At 35.6% G+C, this 18,874-nt stretch overlaps 1 long non-coding RNA gene across 3 annotated transcripts in view; it reads right to left on the reverse strand.

Annotated features, from left to right (window-relative positions):
* LINC02663 (long intergenic non-protein coding RNA 2663) overlaps positions 1–18,874 on the reverse strand; it is a 434,814-nt gene that overhangs the window by 403,646 nt on the left and 12,294 nt on the right. Inside the window, exon 1 of one of the 3 annotated variants that reach the window (XR_930645.3) lies at positions 16,716–16,935. The exons of the other annotated variants lie outside the window; for them this stretch is intronic. This is a non-coding gene — a long non-coding RNA (long intergenic non-protein coding RNA 2663). Of the gene's footprint in view, positions 1–16,715; positions 16,936–18,874 lie in introns of those variants that run through there. 3 annotated transcript variants of the gene reach the window in all.

An 18,874-nucleotide genomic window follows, 5' to 3' on the forward strand; every position in this document is an offset into this window, starting at 1 on the left:
CTTTATACTGGTGTTCTTGCTACCTCTTCCTAGAAAATTCCTCCCTGACATGTCCACAAGGCTCACACTGTCATCTCTCTGATGCTTTAGGACTTTGCTCCAGTAACAGCTTCTCAGTGAGGCTTTCCCCAATTTACAATTTAAATCTGAAACCTTCCCTTCAACACCCCTTAAACTTTTCTCTACTTTATTTCATAGTTAAATTTCCCAACATTTAATTATATTTTACTCATGTGTTTCTTCATTTATTTACTTTCTTTTTCACTAAAAAGTAAATGTCACAAGGACAGGACTTTCTGTGTTCTTTGCACCCTTCTCTATTGCTAGCAGCTAGAAACATGCCTGAAATGCAGTAGACACTCAGGGATGAATGAGGAATGGATGATGTTCTTTAATGTTTGTCATAGGATTTACTTTTATACTCCATACTCTATTTTAATAAACCATTTCATGGTTTTTATAAACACCATTATAAAAAAATCATTTAATTTGCACTGAAATACTCCAATTTTTTAATGTGAATGAGAAAAAAATTACCTCTATTGTCATTTTTAACAAGGAAATAATGGATAAGTAGTTTTATATTATGTACCTAAGCAAAGACATAGAAATGGGACTATATAGGGTGAATATTTAGAGTACATTCATGGGTTAATAGTGAAATAAGTCTTATTGGATAAACAAAGTATGTTCAGGTTAGTGCCAGAAGCTAAAAAGAGGAGTATATGTTGTATTCAGAATTGTGGTAGCTTTGAATATGTGTCAAAATGATAGGACTCATTTTGGAAATATATTTATTAACTTGACTTTCAATGTGTAACAAGACCTGACCAAGGTATCATAGTTCATTTATTTGATTTTAGTTCACTAGAAAATATTTATTTATGGTTAGTTTAACAGAAACCTGTTGACAGTCATAATTGTCAATGAAAAAATTTTTCATTGACTAAGAGATATAAATAACATTAAGACTTAAATAATGTCCTAAGAGTTTTCCTCAGGGATGACTGGTTGTTTTCAAAATAATAACAATAATTATTATACCATTGATTTCTCTTAGTCAATAGTGTAAAACAAATGGTGACCTTTTCTTCATTTAACAGCTCAAAATAATTGGCTGTATATTAAAAGAATCTGACTGGAAATATGGCTTTCTATTAATCTTATTTATAATATCTGTTTTAGAACTTCAAAGCAATCATTTAAGGGTCAAAACATATTTGAAAAGCAATGGTAATTTTAAAATCAGGCAAGGACCTGGCATTCCTTTTCTTTATGTGTTTATAAGCTAAAACTAGAGCTTAATCCATCTTTGGTCTTGCATGTATCAATGGAATTTATCAGAACAATGAGATATTACAATGTAAGAATGTGATTGATGTAATGACTTTACCTTCTATGCTTGTGGAATTACTTTTTGAAATTATTTCTAAATGCACAGCTCAACAAACTATCACTAAACAAATATGTTTGAAAACTGCACCCACATCAAGGAATAGAATCTCAGAAGTCCTTCACACCCTTTCCTTTTTACCTAACATTCCCTATGTAAAGATGACTACCATGTTAATCACTTGATTTTACAGCCTTGCCAAGTGAGCTTGCATGTTAAAACACTATACTCTAGTTTTGCCTGTTTCAGGCTTCACAGAAATTAAATTATATAGAATGTATTCAATTTAGATTTTTGTCTCAATATTGTATTCATGAAAATTATTCTTGCTGTTGGAAAATGTGTTCATTTTACAAGTTGTGTAGTATTCTATTATAGAGTGCTTTTAAGCTTCTGCTTACATCATATTTGTTATTATCTTAATGGTCAAAGCAAGTTGCATGATCAACATAGATTCATGACATGGAAAATGGGCTTCACTTCTTGATGAGAGTTGCTGCAAAGTACTGTGGTCATTTTTGCAAACCACCACATTATTGTATGTATATACTGCTAATTTGATAATATTTGCTTAGGATTTTTGAGTATAGGTTTTTATAGGAGGTAGAGATATAGACTTCTATTACTTTATGAGTTGGGGAATGTTCCTGGTTTTCTGCAAGAAGCACAACTTATTTACTCTTTTACCAATAATAAACATTTGGATTTGTATCAGTCATGATTGGCTGGGTTACACCAAAGTAACAAAATTCCCCAAGTCTCAGTGGTCTAAACCAATAAATGCTTGTCCACTGCAGGTTGGCCAGTGACTCACCCTCATGATGGCATCCTTGCTCCAAGGTTATTTGGGCAGAGCAGCTGTCTGGAATGTTGACTGGTAGCCAGTGGTAGGGAAGAATGGGGATGAAGCTGGCAAAGCATGTGCTAGCTATTAAAGTTGCTACATGGAAAAGACATGTCATTTCTAATCGCATTCCACTGACCAAAAAATGCCACGTGGCCTTGCATGACTTCAAAGAACAATGGAAGTAAAATCTTCCAGAAAAGAGGTCAACTGGATTTTGGAGAAAAGTAATGTAGTCTAGCAGAGACTGTCCTTCATTTCTCCAAATACTTGGTTTGTTCAGGTTCACATAACCAGAACATAATCATCTTCATGCTAAGGGAGAAAATTCAAAAGTTCCAAAAAGTTCCTATTTTGAATTCAAAGTCCACGGTGTCTCCTAATGTGAGTTAATCTCTGTGTCAGGTTAGGATGTGATTCTGCTTAATCCAAGAACTAAAAACTTCTGTGGAACATAAATATAAATAAGATACTACTAATAAATTCTCTCTTTGTATAAGGGAAGAACAGAACATACATATCAGCCATTAGTCCATAACAATTATTAGATTTTCCTAGGCAGGTACTGAAATTGTCCCTATATTCAGAATGGGTAATATCCTTTGAATAGACTCTGATTCTGGTCTCTGGTTTTGGATTTTTTTCTCTATAATCTTACTTGGGCCTTGTATCCTCCCTGCTGGAGGCCCTTAATTTTTTATCATTGTCTTTGGCTTTATCTGAATAGACCTTTGTAGAAAATGCCTTGTTTTCTCTGTGGCTTTCTTAGCTAACTTTCTGCTTATTTGAGCTTGGGGAAATTCCAAAAGTTGCTTCAAGTTTTAAATAACTACATATGCTTTAAGCTGGGAATTTCTTTAGCAATATGATTGTCTCAATAATCTTCTATATTTGATTCCAGTCAACTCCACACGTTAATAGCTACATAGTCCTTTTTTAGGCATATTTCTTAGATTTGTCATCATTTGTTTTGTTTTTGTTTTTTAATCCCTAGGTGTCTCTCTATTTTAGACACACACCTCTCAACTCTATTTTAGATAGTCACCCAGATTCCCATTTGGTAGGCATCTCTTTAATCTCTTTTTCCTAAGATATTTTTATAAATTTAAGAAATGAGTTCTCAGTGTTTTATTAATCTAATCAGTGGTTGTGATGCTTGTTTGAATTGACTCTTGCCAACAGAATAAGTCTAATACAGGTTCAGTTAAAACTCCTTTGCATCTCTGAGATGAAACCAACTTGGTTATGATATAATTTCAGAAAGATAGCAATAGTGGCTTAAAACGAAAGTCATTTATTTAGGCCATGATTTTCTGAGTAGCTCTGATCTGGGATTGGTTTGACTGATCTGAGCTAGGCTATTTTGTGTCTCTGCAGGCAATTTTCAGTTTGGCTGGGGTCTCAAGGTCCTTGCATAACCTTCTATATCTGGCAGTTGGCAGGCTGACAACGGGAGCAATAGAGGTGACTTGGCTATGTGTGGCTTATCATACAGTAGCAAATACAGGTTTGTCCACAAAACAGCAGTACTTCAAGAGTAGCAAGCTCCAACATTTGAGAGTGCTTTTAAGCTTCTGCTTATATCGTATTTGTTATTGTTGCAAGTTGCATGATCAACATAGATTCATGACATGGAAAATGGGTTTCACCTCTTGACAAGAGCTGCTGCAAAGTACTGTGGTCATTTTTGCAAACCACCACATTATTGTATTTATATATTGCTAGATAAATTTGATAATATTTGCTTAGAATTTTTGAGTGAGATTTTTATATGAGATAGAGACAAACTTGTATTACTTTATGAGTTGGGGAATGTTCCTGGTTTTCTGCCATCTAAAATACAGTCTCCAACTTCTAATAGTTCTACATATGATTTTTCAATGTTACAATCAGTTTAACAGGAAGTAACCCCATCAAAAGTCAAGAAGCATGTATACTTTGTGTAATAACAGCATTATTTCTTCCTTATACATTTGAATATATTCGCAGTTTACTTTTAGTTTTTGTTTGCATGATATGTCCTTTTCTATCTTCTTATATTCGAATTTATGTATTCTTTATGTTTAGATGTGTAACTTGCAAATACCACAAAGTTAGCTTTAAAAGCAATCATCCTGATGGTCTTTATCTTTCATATCTTATCACATACTTATATGATAAATAAAAGGGACATTTATCCCCTTTACTTATCATATAGTAACCAGAATGTAGTGCTTTCTCTTTTCCTATTTGATCTTGATTTGTCTCATAAGTTGTATGTTATTTTTTCTCTTGCTTCTGGTCTTCTATATAATTAGGCATTTTTATTTCCCTTTTCTTTCCTCTACTTACTTGGAAATTATACATTTTAAACATATTAGTGGCTACCTAAAAAAATACAATGTCCATTTGTCACTTATCAGAATCTAAATTTAATCTGTCATTTATCCTATCACTGGAAAATGTAAAAATTTAAAACACTTTAACTCCATTTACTACCATCCTATTCCCCACTTTGATTTTACACTACTGTATTCCTGTGTTTTAATTGTGTATTTAAAATACAAAAAATAGTGATACGTTAGTTAAATTCACTTAGATGTATGAAGATATGTAGCATTTTTGTTGCTCTTTCTTCCTTCTAGTATCTCTGAAATGTCACATTATCTTTTTATACTTTAAACCCTCACCTTTTGCATTATGTTTACTGAATGTCTGCTGCTTATGAGCTCTTCATTTTTTGTCTAAAATTTTCTATTTCATCTTTATTCTTTCAGAAATTATTACTGAGAATTATTCTTTGGAAGTTATTTGCTTTATTTCCATTGTCTATGCCTTTCATTATTTCTGTTGAGAAGTCAGCTGTTAACCAAACTTGTTGCTCATTTGAAAGTAATCTATCTTTCTTAGGCTGCTTTTAAGATAGTTTCTCTGTCTATACCTCTGGGCAATTTCTATGATATACTTCCTTGTAAACTTTGTTCTGTCTTCCTCTCTTCCTTCCTAACATTCTTACTTCCATCTTTCCTTCCTTTTGTAAACATATTTTAACTCATATAATATCTTTAATTTGTAATATAGTGTATTTCATCAGTTGTGGAAAGTTGATAGTGCCGATCTTGGTAAATATTACTTTTATAATTTCCCCTTATCTTATTGTAGAACTCAAATGATACAAATGTTAGAGCTTCTCACAATATTCTCTTTATCACCAATTCTACATGTTTTTACCATTTTATCTCTTTATGTTCTATTCTGATTATTTTTTCTAAACTATCTTTTAATTTCTTATTTTCTCTTTGACATTTTCTAATGTTACTATCTAACCACTGATACTTCATTTAGTTACTCATTTTCAGTACCACACTTACAATTTTGTCATTTTTAAAATAATTTTTATCTTTCCTATGGAAATAAAAAGATCTTAGTATCATTTTGACCACAGTAGAATAATCATTTAAAGTCTGAGTCTCTATACCTAGAAATCTGGAAGATTTATTTCTATTTTCTATTAGTTTTGCCATTTTTTGCTCATGTTGTTGGTCTTCTTGGGTGCCTGGTTATAGCATATAAAGTGTCAGATATTAAAAACTGTATTTAGCAAAAACTTGAATACTGGAATGATGTTTTTCATCTTATGCCAGTAAGCAAATACATTGGCTACTTTCAGGTAGCTGGTAACTAAAAAAATTTAGGTAACTTCAGATGTCATTTAGAGAACAAAATGAGTCACAGCAAAACTACACTGACCTCAGTGTGTTACATTTTAAATGAAACTTGTAATCAGCTCAGCGATCCAGATATTCTTAAACCCCTATGAGAGTGGAAGTGATTGAGGTTATCCAATATTTTACCCTCATCCCTAAACGGAAGTGGGATTAATGACTATACATCTTGGTTCTGTGCACTGCTTCCAATTTCTGTTGCTCTTAAAAACATGTTAAAAAAAGAAAGGAAAAAAAAAAAACATTCACATTCGCTGTGGGAGTTGAGTGTGATGCCTGTACAAGATTGCATTCTCCCTGCTGGAAAGATATTTGCTGTTCCATTGGTTCTCTGTGAGGTTCATTTAACACTGTGTAGCAAATCTCTTTATGTCCAAAAAAAAGATATGCCAGCCCTAGGCATATTACTTCAATAGAATGATTTATAACACTTTAGGATCTGCAACTTAATGGAGTAAAACTTTTCTCACAATACCCTTAACTGAGAACCAAGTCTACATCAAAATGGTTTTCGTAAACCTCACACATTAACAAGCTTCATTACTTCAGAAATTTGATTTAGGATACTCACAGAAGCAAACAGTAGACCACAAGCTGCACTCAGCACTGCACTACTCACTAAAATGAAGAGCAGTGTTTTACTGAGGGATGTCCTTGTTACCAAAGACCCATTTATTTACTGAGTGTCAATTTGAGAGAATTATAAGCACTCAGAGAGTCATGTCCATTTTGTCCATTGGGTGTCTCCATCAGCTGGTACATAGCAGATTTTCAACAAATTTCAATGACTGGCAGGAATGCCTTCCTACTATCTTCTATCTATCAGCCAGTAGAACAGACGTCCCAACTCACACAGAAGGGTGTCCATCTGATTTTTAGAGGCCTCCAGGAAAGGCATGCCACCACCACCCCTCAGAAACCTTTTCCATATCTCCCGGAGTCCAGCTGGGTCCCCGAATGCAGTCTGTTCACCAGCTGCTACTGCTTCCCACTTATCTGGCCAGAAATGCACTGGCTATTTTCCATTTCAGCAGGCTCACTCCTTAATCATTTCTAGAACAGCAAAGGGGGTGTTGGAAATATCCTCCCTAATCTCTCTTGCAATATTTAAATGTATCTAATTTCAAAACACTGAAAAGGTTAAAAAAAATCCATAAAACAACTCTTAAATAAATTCCATCTGATGGCTTGAAAGAATCTTTTCACAATGAATTCGTAAGAAGGTGAAAATAGAATTCTCATTTAATTTTTGCTAGTATGTCCAGATTTCACAATAGGATGAGCTTATTTTTGGCTCCAGATTTACATGATTGTTCTCCTCAGCATTTTCTTTCTTCTATTTAGGCAAAGGAAGTTTGTGGCTTGCATATTAGAATTGAAATATTTACAATTAATTTAAGTTGATGTAATAAATTTTAGTTCATTTAAGTTCTTATAATTATTGCCTTGTTGTAGAAAACCTGAGATCCTCTGTCTATGAAATTTTGAAAGGCAACTCTAGGGATTTTCAGAAATAAATAATATATACGACATCTCAAAAGAAGTGTTAAAGCTCACTAGTTTTATCAACATCTTTGGTTTTTAGTTTTTTGGGTTTTGTTTTTTTTTTTTTTTAACAATAAACGCTCCATGTAAGTGTAGGATCTCTATTTTGTTCATTGACGTATCCCAATCCCTAAAAGAATGCTGGGCACATAGTTAATGCTCAATACATACAGAAATGTGATTCTGTTTTTCCATTTATTTCTCAAAAGTGATTGATTGGAAGTAGGCCTTCACAAGATGGTGACCAGGCTCAGGAAGCTGTTTCCTAAATTTAATTTTATATATATCACAAAATCATAAAACAGTCTTCAAAGTTATTCTGCCAGTAGCATAAGGACTTCCTGGATGTGGGAATGCAGCTAAGTCCTGTGAAGCACTGAACTCTCAGAGGCAATCGGCCTTTGCATTGTTCACTCATTCCTCAGTGAATACCCTCTTCTCTTAGATAATAGCTCTTGATAGGAAAAGCCTACATTTTCATAACTGGTATGTTGAACACATAACCCAGCAAATTTGATAAATGCAATTTTATTGCTTATTTCTCTCACTACTTTGTAAAAAATTTAAATTAAGTCAACAATGTCTTTTTTTTTTTTTTTTTTAGTATTTATTGATCATTCTTGGGTGTTTCTCGGAGAGGGGGATTTGGCAGGGTCATAGGACAATAGTGGAGGGAAGGTCAGCAGATAAACATGTGAACAAAGGTCTCTGGTTTTCCTAGGCAGAGGGTCCTGCCGACTTCCGCAGTGTTTGTGTCCCTGGGTAGTTGAGATTAGGGAGTGGTGATGACTCTTAAGGAGCACGCTGCCTTCAAGCATCTGTTTAACAAAGCACAACTTGCACTGCCCTTAATCCATTTAACCCTTCGTGGACACAGCACATGTTTCAGAGAGCACGGGGTTGGGGCTAAGGTTATAGATTAACAGCATCCCAAGGCAGAAGAATTTTTCCTAGTACAGAACAAAATGGAGTCTCCTATGTCTACTTCTTTCTACACAGACACAGTAACAATCTGATCTCTCTTTCTTTTCCCCACATTTCCCCCTTTTCTATTCGACAAAACCGCCATCATCATCACGGCCCGTTCTCAATGAGCTGTTGGGTACACCCCCCAGACGGGGTGGCGGCCAGGCAGAGGGGCTCCCCACCTCCCAGTCGGGGCTGCCGGGCAGAGGGGCCCCCCACCTCCCAGAAGGGGTGGCGGTCGGGCAGAGGGGCTCCCCACTTCCCAGACCGGGCGGCCGGGCAGAGGCACCCCCCACCTCCCAGACGGGGTGGCGGCCGGGCAGGGGCTGCCCCCCACCTCCCGGACAGGGCGGCTGGCCGGGCGGGGGCTGCCCCCCACCTCCCGGACAGGGCTGCTGGCCGGGTAAGTCAACAATTTCTTTTGCTCTGAATGTAAGATTGGGTAAAATCCCTAGTTTTTCTTTTTACTATTAAATAATAGATATCATATAGCAATTTTATATCACAAAATATCAGAAAATGTAGCATGATCTACTAATGAGAATGAGACCAGTTAGTGCATTCACATGCATTTCAGTCTTCATTCAACGCTCATACTTCTTCCTCTGTCCCAGTGCCACATTCAGATGCAAACAAGAGAGACCCCTGCCTGGATACAGGGCCTCGCATACCGAAAATCATACGACCTCATGCATTTATTAAAGAATGTATGTGTGCCTCTGTCATGGAGTCTGTCACTCAGTGCTGGCAAAGCTTGATCCATAGCCCTAAACATCCACTCTTGTGATTAATACCATTCAGGCCACGGTGAAGTAGTTTTCCAAATGCCAGGACAATTTAAGAGTTGTATCATTACTGATGTCAGAGATGAACACTACCTGGGATTGCAGGGAATGTTTACACAATAGAAATGCTTGAGTCGCCAGGAGCGGTGGCTCACGCCTGTAATCCCAGCCCTTTAGGAGGCTGAGGCAGGTGTATTATCTGAGGTCAGAAATTCGAGACCAGTATGGCCAACATGGTGAAACCCTGTCTCTATTAAAAATATAAAAAAAGTAGCCAGGCTTGGTGGCGTGCGCCTGTAATCCCAGCTACTCGGGAGGCTGAGGCAAGGGAATTGCTTGATCCAGGGAGGTGGAGGTTGCAGTGCACCACTGCACTCCAGCCTGGGCGACACAGCGAGACTCCGTCTCAAAAAAAAAAAAAAAAAAAAAAAAAGAACAGAAAAGAAAAGAAAAGAAAAAAGCTTGAGTCAACTAATACCATAGATTAGAAACATCTTCCTAGAAGCATTTGATAGACAAGGTTTCTTCTACTCGCAAATACTATTCTTTTGTTGGCCATAAATCTGTTATTAACATATTTACAGGAGATTATATTTGGGTCACTTATCCCTTCTACTCCAAGGCCACCCTGAGATCTGAAAATGGGAAAGAAAGAAATTTCAGGCCAACCGCTTAACCCCTTCTTTTCCAGTAAGAGAAAATACAATTAATTTGTCAAATATTTTCTCTCAAGAAACTATTAACATACTTGATTTTTTTACATAATGAGGTGTTGCTTTCCAGTAGTGCCAAATTTCTATTTTCTTGCCTTCCTTCACATTCCAGTCAATGCCGGTAGAAGTATTCATTAATTTAAATGGCATTTACAAAAGCCAGTTATGCATAGTGAATGAGGACTGTTTTGTAGTAATAAACAGTTCAGAATAGTCTTAAATGTTCAACTGATTGATGGATAGATGATAAAGAAATGAAGAGATAAAAATGGATCTAGCATTTGTGAAATGTAATGCCAACCCTTCACAATATTGTATACCTCTGGATATTTGAGAATAAAAACATAATTTATATTATATCTTAAAATATTTTATAAATTTTCCACTATAATGACAATATATTATATTAGGCCCATTACAGTATTTAACATAACATATTATCATAATTTCATTCTTATTTAAATATTGTTTTAATAATTTTATTACCTTAAAGTTGCTACAGTCAGCCAAGTGAAGCTTCCCTAAATTGAAGTAATAATTTAAACACACAAAAAATCTGTCCATTATAATTCCAGAAAGGTTGTCTAATTTGACATTCCTATGAATACATTGTTTTATGTAATATATATATATATATATATTTTTTTTTTTTTTTTGCAAGGGAGTCTTGCTGTCACCCAGACTGGAGTGCAGCGGCACAATCTCAGCTCACTGCAACCTCCACCTCCTGGGTTCAAGCAATTCTCCTGCCTCAGCCTCCTGAGTAGCTGGGACTACAGGTGCCCACCACCACACCCTGCTAATTTTTTTTTTGTATTTTTAGGAAAGGTGCGGATTCACTCTGTTGGCCAGGCTGGTCTTGACCTCAAGTTATCCGCCCACGTTGACCTCCCAACGTGCTGGGATTACAGGCATGAGCCATTGCACCTGGCCCGTGATAAATCTTAAATATGGCAAAAAAAATTAACAATTTTACCAAAATAGAGGAAATAACTTATATAAAAATAGATAATATGTAGATAGTGTTTTTATTTTTAATTATTCATCCTAACATTGCTAGCCCAGCTTCTGAGCACCCAATCATGAATAATGGTAGTTAATTCTATCTTCTTTGATCTTGTGCCATCTTCCAGATAAAATCACAGATTTAAACACATTTGTTAAGTATAATCATCATACAGAATTTGTCAAAGTAGAAGAAGAAAACATTTTATTTCACAGTTAACTTGACGTATAGTAACTTTTAAATATTTTGGCCTATGTAACTGCGGTTTTTGCCTTTTAAAAGTAATTGTATTATATGCAGAACACACATATATGTATGTGTGTTGATGCATATGTGTGTATATATATAATTATGTATTTGTGTGTGTGTGTGTGTGTGTGTGTGTGTCTAATGAAATCTATTGTAAGGAATTTGTTCATGTGATTATGGAGGCTGAGAAGTCTCATAGTCTGCTATCACATATGGAAACCCAGAAAGTCAGTGATGTAATTCAGTTCAAGTCTGAAGGCCTAAGAACCAGAAACCATGGATGGTGTAAGTCTCAGCTCAAGCAGTCATGCAAACAGTGAATTCAACCTTCATCTGCTCCTTTTGGTAACTGGTATCTATCATATTGGTGCTATCATAATACTCAGACACAACTGGATTTTAAAATCCTATTACACCTGTTAAAAAGTTAATTATTGAATTCATTTGACACTTTATTCTAATGTTAATGTACAATATATAGAGTCATACAGTGATAATGCTAGAAAAGCCCTTTGAAAATAATTAGGTTTCTTAGCAAGCATTGCCTATCAGCAGAACCCAGGGAGCATTACAAAAATACTTATGAGCAGGCCCCAATCCTAGAGACTCTGACCCTAAAGCTCAGAGGGGGACCTACACATGCAGCCTTTTTCATGGTTTTTGCTTGTTTGATAGTGTAGTTATTTCTCATCTGGCAAAAGTCACACAAGTAGGAAAATATTCTGCCAAAAACAGTGTTAGAAGAAATCAGTAAATTAAAAGAGCAGGACAGAAATTCCCCATGTTGCTTTAAGATAGGAAAACAAGCATGTGCTGAAGAAATACAGTAATTCTTGAGTCTATAAAGAAGTCATTGAGTACTAAGGCTGTCAGCATTTGCAGTCTCACCAGATGAGTAATCCTCCTGGCTTGTGGCTCACAGGACAAATTAGCTGTTACAATCTACTAATAAAGTAATACCTGAATGCTAATTTAGAGAATTTGATTTGCAGTTAGGTGTCAGTCATTTTTCTTTTCTCATAATAGTAATATCATAGGTGAAGACAATGTACATACCTGCATTACTAGAGGGACATGAAAGGGACCCATAATGGAGCAAACACTGAAGTTCTTAAAATGAATACATTCTTACAGTAAAGCGTATGTGCTCTCTTCCCAACATTCTCAGTAAAACAGCAATTTTTCTCAGAGAATTAAAAGAACTATGCTCAATATCTTACAGAACAACCCACATTCTTGAGCTCATTTCCAGATATACCAATTGTCTGTCTGACAGCCCAAAATCCTAGAGATGTCCCTAGCCTGTTTGGCAAACTTTATTTTTAATGAAAGCTGACAGATTTCATTTATAAATGGTCTTAATGATAAAATGTAGCAAACTTCAAACTAGTTAATATTAATATTAACTTTCAGATATTTACAGATGAAAAATTAATATCAGTCAGCCCTGATTTCTATTGTTCACAAATTAATGATTGGTGTCCATTCAGTCTGCTTAGGCAGACACTTTTATAATCGTGGAAACTCCAAGTTGGAGATAACTTTAGAGTCCATCTCTCCAGCCTCCTACTCAATGCTGTAAATGTGACAGACACGTTCCCCAAAACCTTCTGTTCCGCAAAAGCACACATTAAAATAGTATTGGGGTACAAAGCGGCTAGAGAGACTGTTCAAACCCAAACAAGGCAGAGGCTGCTGAGTAATGGAAACAGGGAAAAATCTACAAAGATCAGGAAGACAAAGGCAGAAGAACACGAAGCCAATGGTATGAAGGGAAGGCCAGGGGGAAACAGTTGACCTGGACAGCGCTGCACTTCTCTGTGGCCTATAGGTTCACTGTCTCAGGTGTGCTTTGCACTGCTTGGAGGCAACACCAATTAACATCCTTGGAAAAATCACATGTGAGTCATTCAATTTTTATATGTAATGACACCTTCCCCCTGAAATTAAGGGGGAATTGAGCATGTACTGTCCTAACTTGTATTAAACATATTATAGGCAATGAGGTTACATAGAGAGCCCTATAGCATCCCTTACAAGTACTCTTCAGCCTCTGCTTAAACATTTCACAACTGTTTTCATGAGCCCTTGCCAAAGATGAACAACTCTAGCTATCAGAGCTCTTTTGAGTCAAAATGTTTCCCTCATGACTGTTGGTTTCAAGTGCATCCTCTGCAGTAGCACAAAATACACCATCCTTTTCCCTTGAGAAAGGTTTGATTATTTGAGTAGAACTTCTTTCTCACATGTGTTAACTTCTGTGTGTGTGTGTGTATGTGTGTGTGTCTGTATCTTTTGAATGTGTTTCATAGCTTTAGGTTGGAGAGAAAGCAGTGTTGAATGAAATTACTACCTAGTCTGTTACAGTTTATCTAAAACTGTGATTAGGATAACTTCTTGCTTAAGTCTACACTAAAATTTGTCTCACAAATCTCTCAAACAATAAAAAAGGAAACTCCTTAAACTGTTGCTTAGTGATTCTTAAACTCAAAATGACTGAGGCGTGTGATATGCCACTCTCTTGAGGTAAGCACCTGACACTTCATCTACTTTCTGAGTCGGGGGGTGCTCCCCAACCCAGTCATCCTGTGCAGATCTTTGGCAAATTCCTGAATTTGCCAAAAGTTACTTCCATTTGGTTCTCTCCATTTTCCTACATATATTTAATCTCTCCCTTGATGAAATCACCCACTTTCAACTGAGGAAAATAGCCCAAGACATTCATTCACTCCACAGATATTTCTTGAACACCTACTATGTATCAGGACTGTTCTAGGCACTGGAGATAGAGAACAGAACAAAATGGAAGAAGAAAAGAAAAGAAAGCAAAACATAAATGCTGCCCTCATGGAGGTTACATTCTAGTGAAGGAAGTTAAAAATCAATAAATAAGGAAATGAAAGGATAGGGGCATTTCATCAAATGTAAAATCCTATTGGCTATTAGATGCATCACAGTTTTATGCATCTTATGAACAATTAAACTGCAATATTCTATAGACTGTAAGGCACATCTCAATTTCAGAGCTGTTCACATGTGAAAAAGTATAGCTTAAAATGAATGAAATACATTACAATGGATTAAAAATGCAGTCAAGGACTTTCATGAGTTTGCAATTTTAAATAAGATGATGAGTCCCAAAGCTCAGTTACCTTCTGCAACTTTCTCCTTCATACTGGACATTGCAGCCTAAAGATCACGAGGGCATCCAAATTCAACATATCCCAAACCTGCTGCCATTAAAGACCTGATGGCTTCACTGGGGATCATATAGCTTTTTCCTCCCTCTTCATTAATCAGAAAGTCCTGTCCATTTTAACCCTAAAATGTTTCCAATCTCCTCCATCTCTCCTAATCAGTGTCCCTGGTTTATGACTTCACTATCTCATATTGACTCTTATTACATTCTACTACCTGGACTCCTTGGTTGCATTATTTTCTCCCCTCTAGAATCTATATTCCATAATGCTATAATACGTATCTCTTTGTAATTCAGGTCTAATCAAGTCACACTTATTTTTTTAAAAAGAACGCTCATATGCTATTTCTTGTTTCAATAAGAAAGTTCCATTTCCTTAGCACAGCAAGTATGAATCCTCACGATAGAACTTCAACCTATGGCTTGAGCTCACCTCAGCAGCTTCTATTCCTCTTCCCTCTCAACAGGATGCCTCAGCTGGGCCAAATTATTGGCTTTTGTCCAAAATGACATTTACTTTCCTACCTTTAATCTGTTCATGCTGTTGTCCTTAACTCAAATCACTTCCCTGTCACCTCCCCCCACAACCTCATGAATGTTTTCCTCACAATTTCTTTCACCTACCAAATCACCTCAGATCATCTGCTCTCTGTCTACTCCTAGGACCTTTATCATACTGATGTTCACCACAATTGATTATACTTTCCTGTCTCCTTCATTAGATTGCACATTCTTTGAGGGTTTCTATTTTTTTGTGTGTTTTGGAATCAAAACCTCAGATTCTGAATCTTGATTCCAATTATCTGCAAATTATATGACCTAAAACTTCTTAATCTCTCTGAACCACAGTTTTCTTATCTGTAGAAATGGTAGAGAAATGAGGATAAAATTTGAAAACAAGGGGAAATTGGCCAATCACAGAGAGTATGAGGGTTCTTTATTTTAATAAAAGTAATTTCCAAATGGGCTTTTTAACCCACGGATGTTTGATGTGTAGAGGCAGAAGAGAGAGTGAAGGGAAAAGGTTAGGTGTACCCTGTGTAGTAACATTTCTATGTCTTTCATCAAAGACATGTTATCTAATCTAAGTACTTTTGTAGACTTTTAACTTTTTAACCTAGCAAAATAGAAGAAAAGTTTTTTAATAAAAAAAGAAAATATAAAAATAATATGAATGCATTCAATTTTTGACTCAAAGTAAAAAAGATATATCAAATTTAATCAAGGCAAAAATTAAAAACAAAGCTATAAATAACTTAATCACTAGATAATTCATAGATTGATCACATCAGTGGAAAAAATATACTATTTGCCAACATTTTTGTATATAATTATTAATAGTATATAATTAATTAATAGTATATAATTACCAATGGTATATTATATTAATTATACACTATTATATATTTATGTTTGCTTTTAGCATTACTACTGATAAATTATGATACTCGCACTTTTTTTACAGTTTGGTTTAATTGTATAATCTAGTCCTTCACAGGCTATTTACTCATCGGCACTATATTAAAATCAGATATAAGTGACATGGATTTGTTTTTTCTTCAGGATACTAAAATGGTGTGCTGGCCTTATCAGCAAGGACAACAGTATCATGACTGTCATGTCCCTTATCATGACATCATGCCTTCTCAACTGTGTTTCCTAAAAATAAGCTGTTGAAATAGAACATAACAGTTTCACCAATTTTATGGATAATTTTTAGTCATAGTTATTTTTAAATTTGCTTTAGATTTTAAATCAACGTAATATATACATCTGGTTTTAAACAAATAAAATATCAAGTTTTATACTGCAAGCAAATAGCTTAATCCCCCATAAGAAACCTCTGCTATATCTGTTTTAAGACTCTCTGAGATTGATTACCTTCCCATCTATAAATAAATGTCTATATGTACTATTTGTGTTCGTTAGTAATTACATGTGACTGCTAAGAACCAAACAGTAATTTAAACAACCTAGAAACATGGGCCGGACACAATGGCTTATTCCTGTAATCCCAGCACTTCAGGAGGCCAAGGCAGGCAGATCACTTGAGGCCAAGTGTTTGAGACTAGCCTTTCCAACATGGTGAAACCCCATGTTTACTAAAAATTCAAAAACCAGCCGGCGTGATAGCACATGCCTGTAATCCCAGCTTGTTGGGAGGCTGAGGCACAAGAATTGCTTGACCCAGGAAGCAGAGGTTGCATTGAGCTGAGATTGCACCACTGCACTCCAGCCTGGGCAACAGGACAAGAGTCTGTCTCAACAAAAGCTCCCAAAACCGAAAAAAACTAGTAGCATCTATACTCACTGTTAGGAGCTGACGTGTGTCTCCGCAAAATTTACATGCTGAAATCCTCATTCCCAGGACCTGAGAATGTGACTGTACTTGGAGATAAGGTGAGGTGACGAAGGTAAAGTGAGGTATGACTGGTGTCCTTTTGAGAAGAGATTAGGACATGGAGAGGGACACCAGAGCTGCGCACGCACAGAGGAAAGACCATGTGAAGCGGCAACAGGAGGGTGGCCACCTGCAAGCCAAGGAGAGAGGCTTCATACAAACCCAACCCTGCTGCCCCCTTGGTCTTAGACTCCCAGCCTCCAGAACTGTCAGTCAATAAATTTCTGTTGTTTAAGCCAACCAGTCTGTGGTACTTTGTTGGCCATCCTAGCAAAGGAACATACCACACACATTATTTCCCACTCACATAACTTGCATTCCGGAAGCTGGTATAGTAGTTTGGGGCTAGTCTCGTGGCTTGAGACAAAGCTCTTTCATCTTTCCTGCTTTCGCTGTCTCTACTAATTGATTTTCATGTTCAAGATGAACTTTTCATCTCAAGGTCTCAAGGTAGCTATTGAAGCTGTAGCCAGCAAAGCACATTCCAGGCAGGAAAAAAGCAGAAACTTGATAACTTGATAACTGTTATAAAGCCTTCCTATAGATCTTTTTCCAATTTGAAAGCTCATTCTTTCTCTCATGTATGTCCACTGTATTCAAGTTACAGTATGAGATTTGAAAAGGGGTGTAGTTTAGTATATTCTATCTAGACGTCTAATAAACATTAAATAATTATAACATTTATTCCCATAACCTTACAAATTATGAAATACAGCTATAAGATATGACAATAGGCCTAGAGACGGGTTTTTCAAGTGCAAAGGGAAAGCCCTCGTGGCATTCCCTTCAAAATTGACATTGCTAATGCTCAAGACCTTTTGGGAAACTCTTTAAAGAGAAGTCTCTTCCTTTTATAGATCCAACCAAAGGTCTTGCAGTGCCCCCAAGAGCTCAATTTTTCTCCTTTTCTGCTATGATATCTTTCAACAAGTCATTCTTCACAAAGATATTCAAAAGCTATTCTGGTACAGCAGCTCCAAAAGGGTGGATAATTTCTACCCTTTATTTCAGAATTACAAAAATCTGGTCTGTGTTAACTATGCCAGTGTCTCAGAGTGCAGTTGTCTCTCACCATAATATCTGAAATATTCCATAAGGATAATGGGTGTGAATAAATAAAGGGGGGAAAAAATCTAAGATTTCCTCCAAAAAAGAAAATATTGCAAAAAGAGCAAAAAAAAGTACAAAATCTGATTTACTACATATTACATGGGGGAAATCATTAAAATATACATTCTCTTAGTTTACCAAAATTGGTTTAATATTCCACATAACAATAGAATCATAAAATAACTTAAAAATATTTACTGAAAGTATTATATAATATATCCAAGATATGTTCCCTCGAAGGTATTACATATTATTGAAATTATTTAATTCTTATACATACTAATTCTATATTTTCAAGTAATTTTAAACCATATTTATAAAAGTTTCTGAGTTTTTTCCTATGTAAAGACATATTTGTCTCTTTCTCTTTCTCTCTCTCTCTCTTTCTCCTTCAGGATGGAAAACAGACCATATGAGAGACATATTTTGAATCTAATATAAAACTAATGATCTAATAACTTTTAAATTATTTGATGAATTTTTCATATATTTCTTTATGAAGAGTAATAAACATAATTAAGAATTTTGTTTACTGTCTGTTTTTATAAGTAAAATGTGTTTATTTTTTCTACCACAAAAGAACTGAATATTGCCAACATTTTAGATTACCACTAAAATATAAGAGAAATTAAATTATTCACTAAATTTGAACTCAAACTTCTGGCTAATAGGACGATGTGCATTACATATGTGTATGCCTGTCTATACAAATGGTGTGACCATTTATATAATGAAAATAAGAAAACTTGCAACAATAAAATATTATAATTTGTAGTCAAATGTTTGCAAGATGGTCAGCTATGGAGATAGGTATTTTAATATTTTTTTATTGACTAGAATCCTACTTAAAAGTATCAGATTTTTATGTCAATATATACCTGCATAGCATTTGCAAGGAACTGGTCATCTAATAAAACTTCACCACCAACAATACAGTCAGCCTCCATATTCATGGGTTC

Source organism: Homo sapiens, chromosome 10 (genome assembly GCF_000001405.40).
Source record: "Homo sapiens chromosome 10, GRCh38.p14 Primary Assembly".
NCBI lineage: Eukaryota > Metazoa > Chordata > Mammalia > Primates > Hominidae > Homo > Homo sapiens.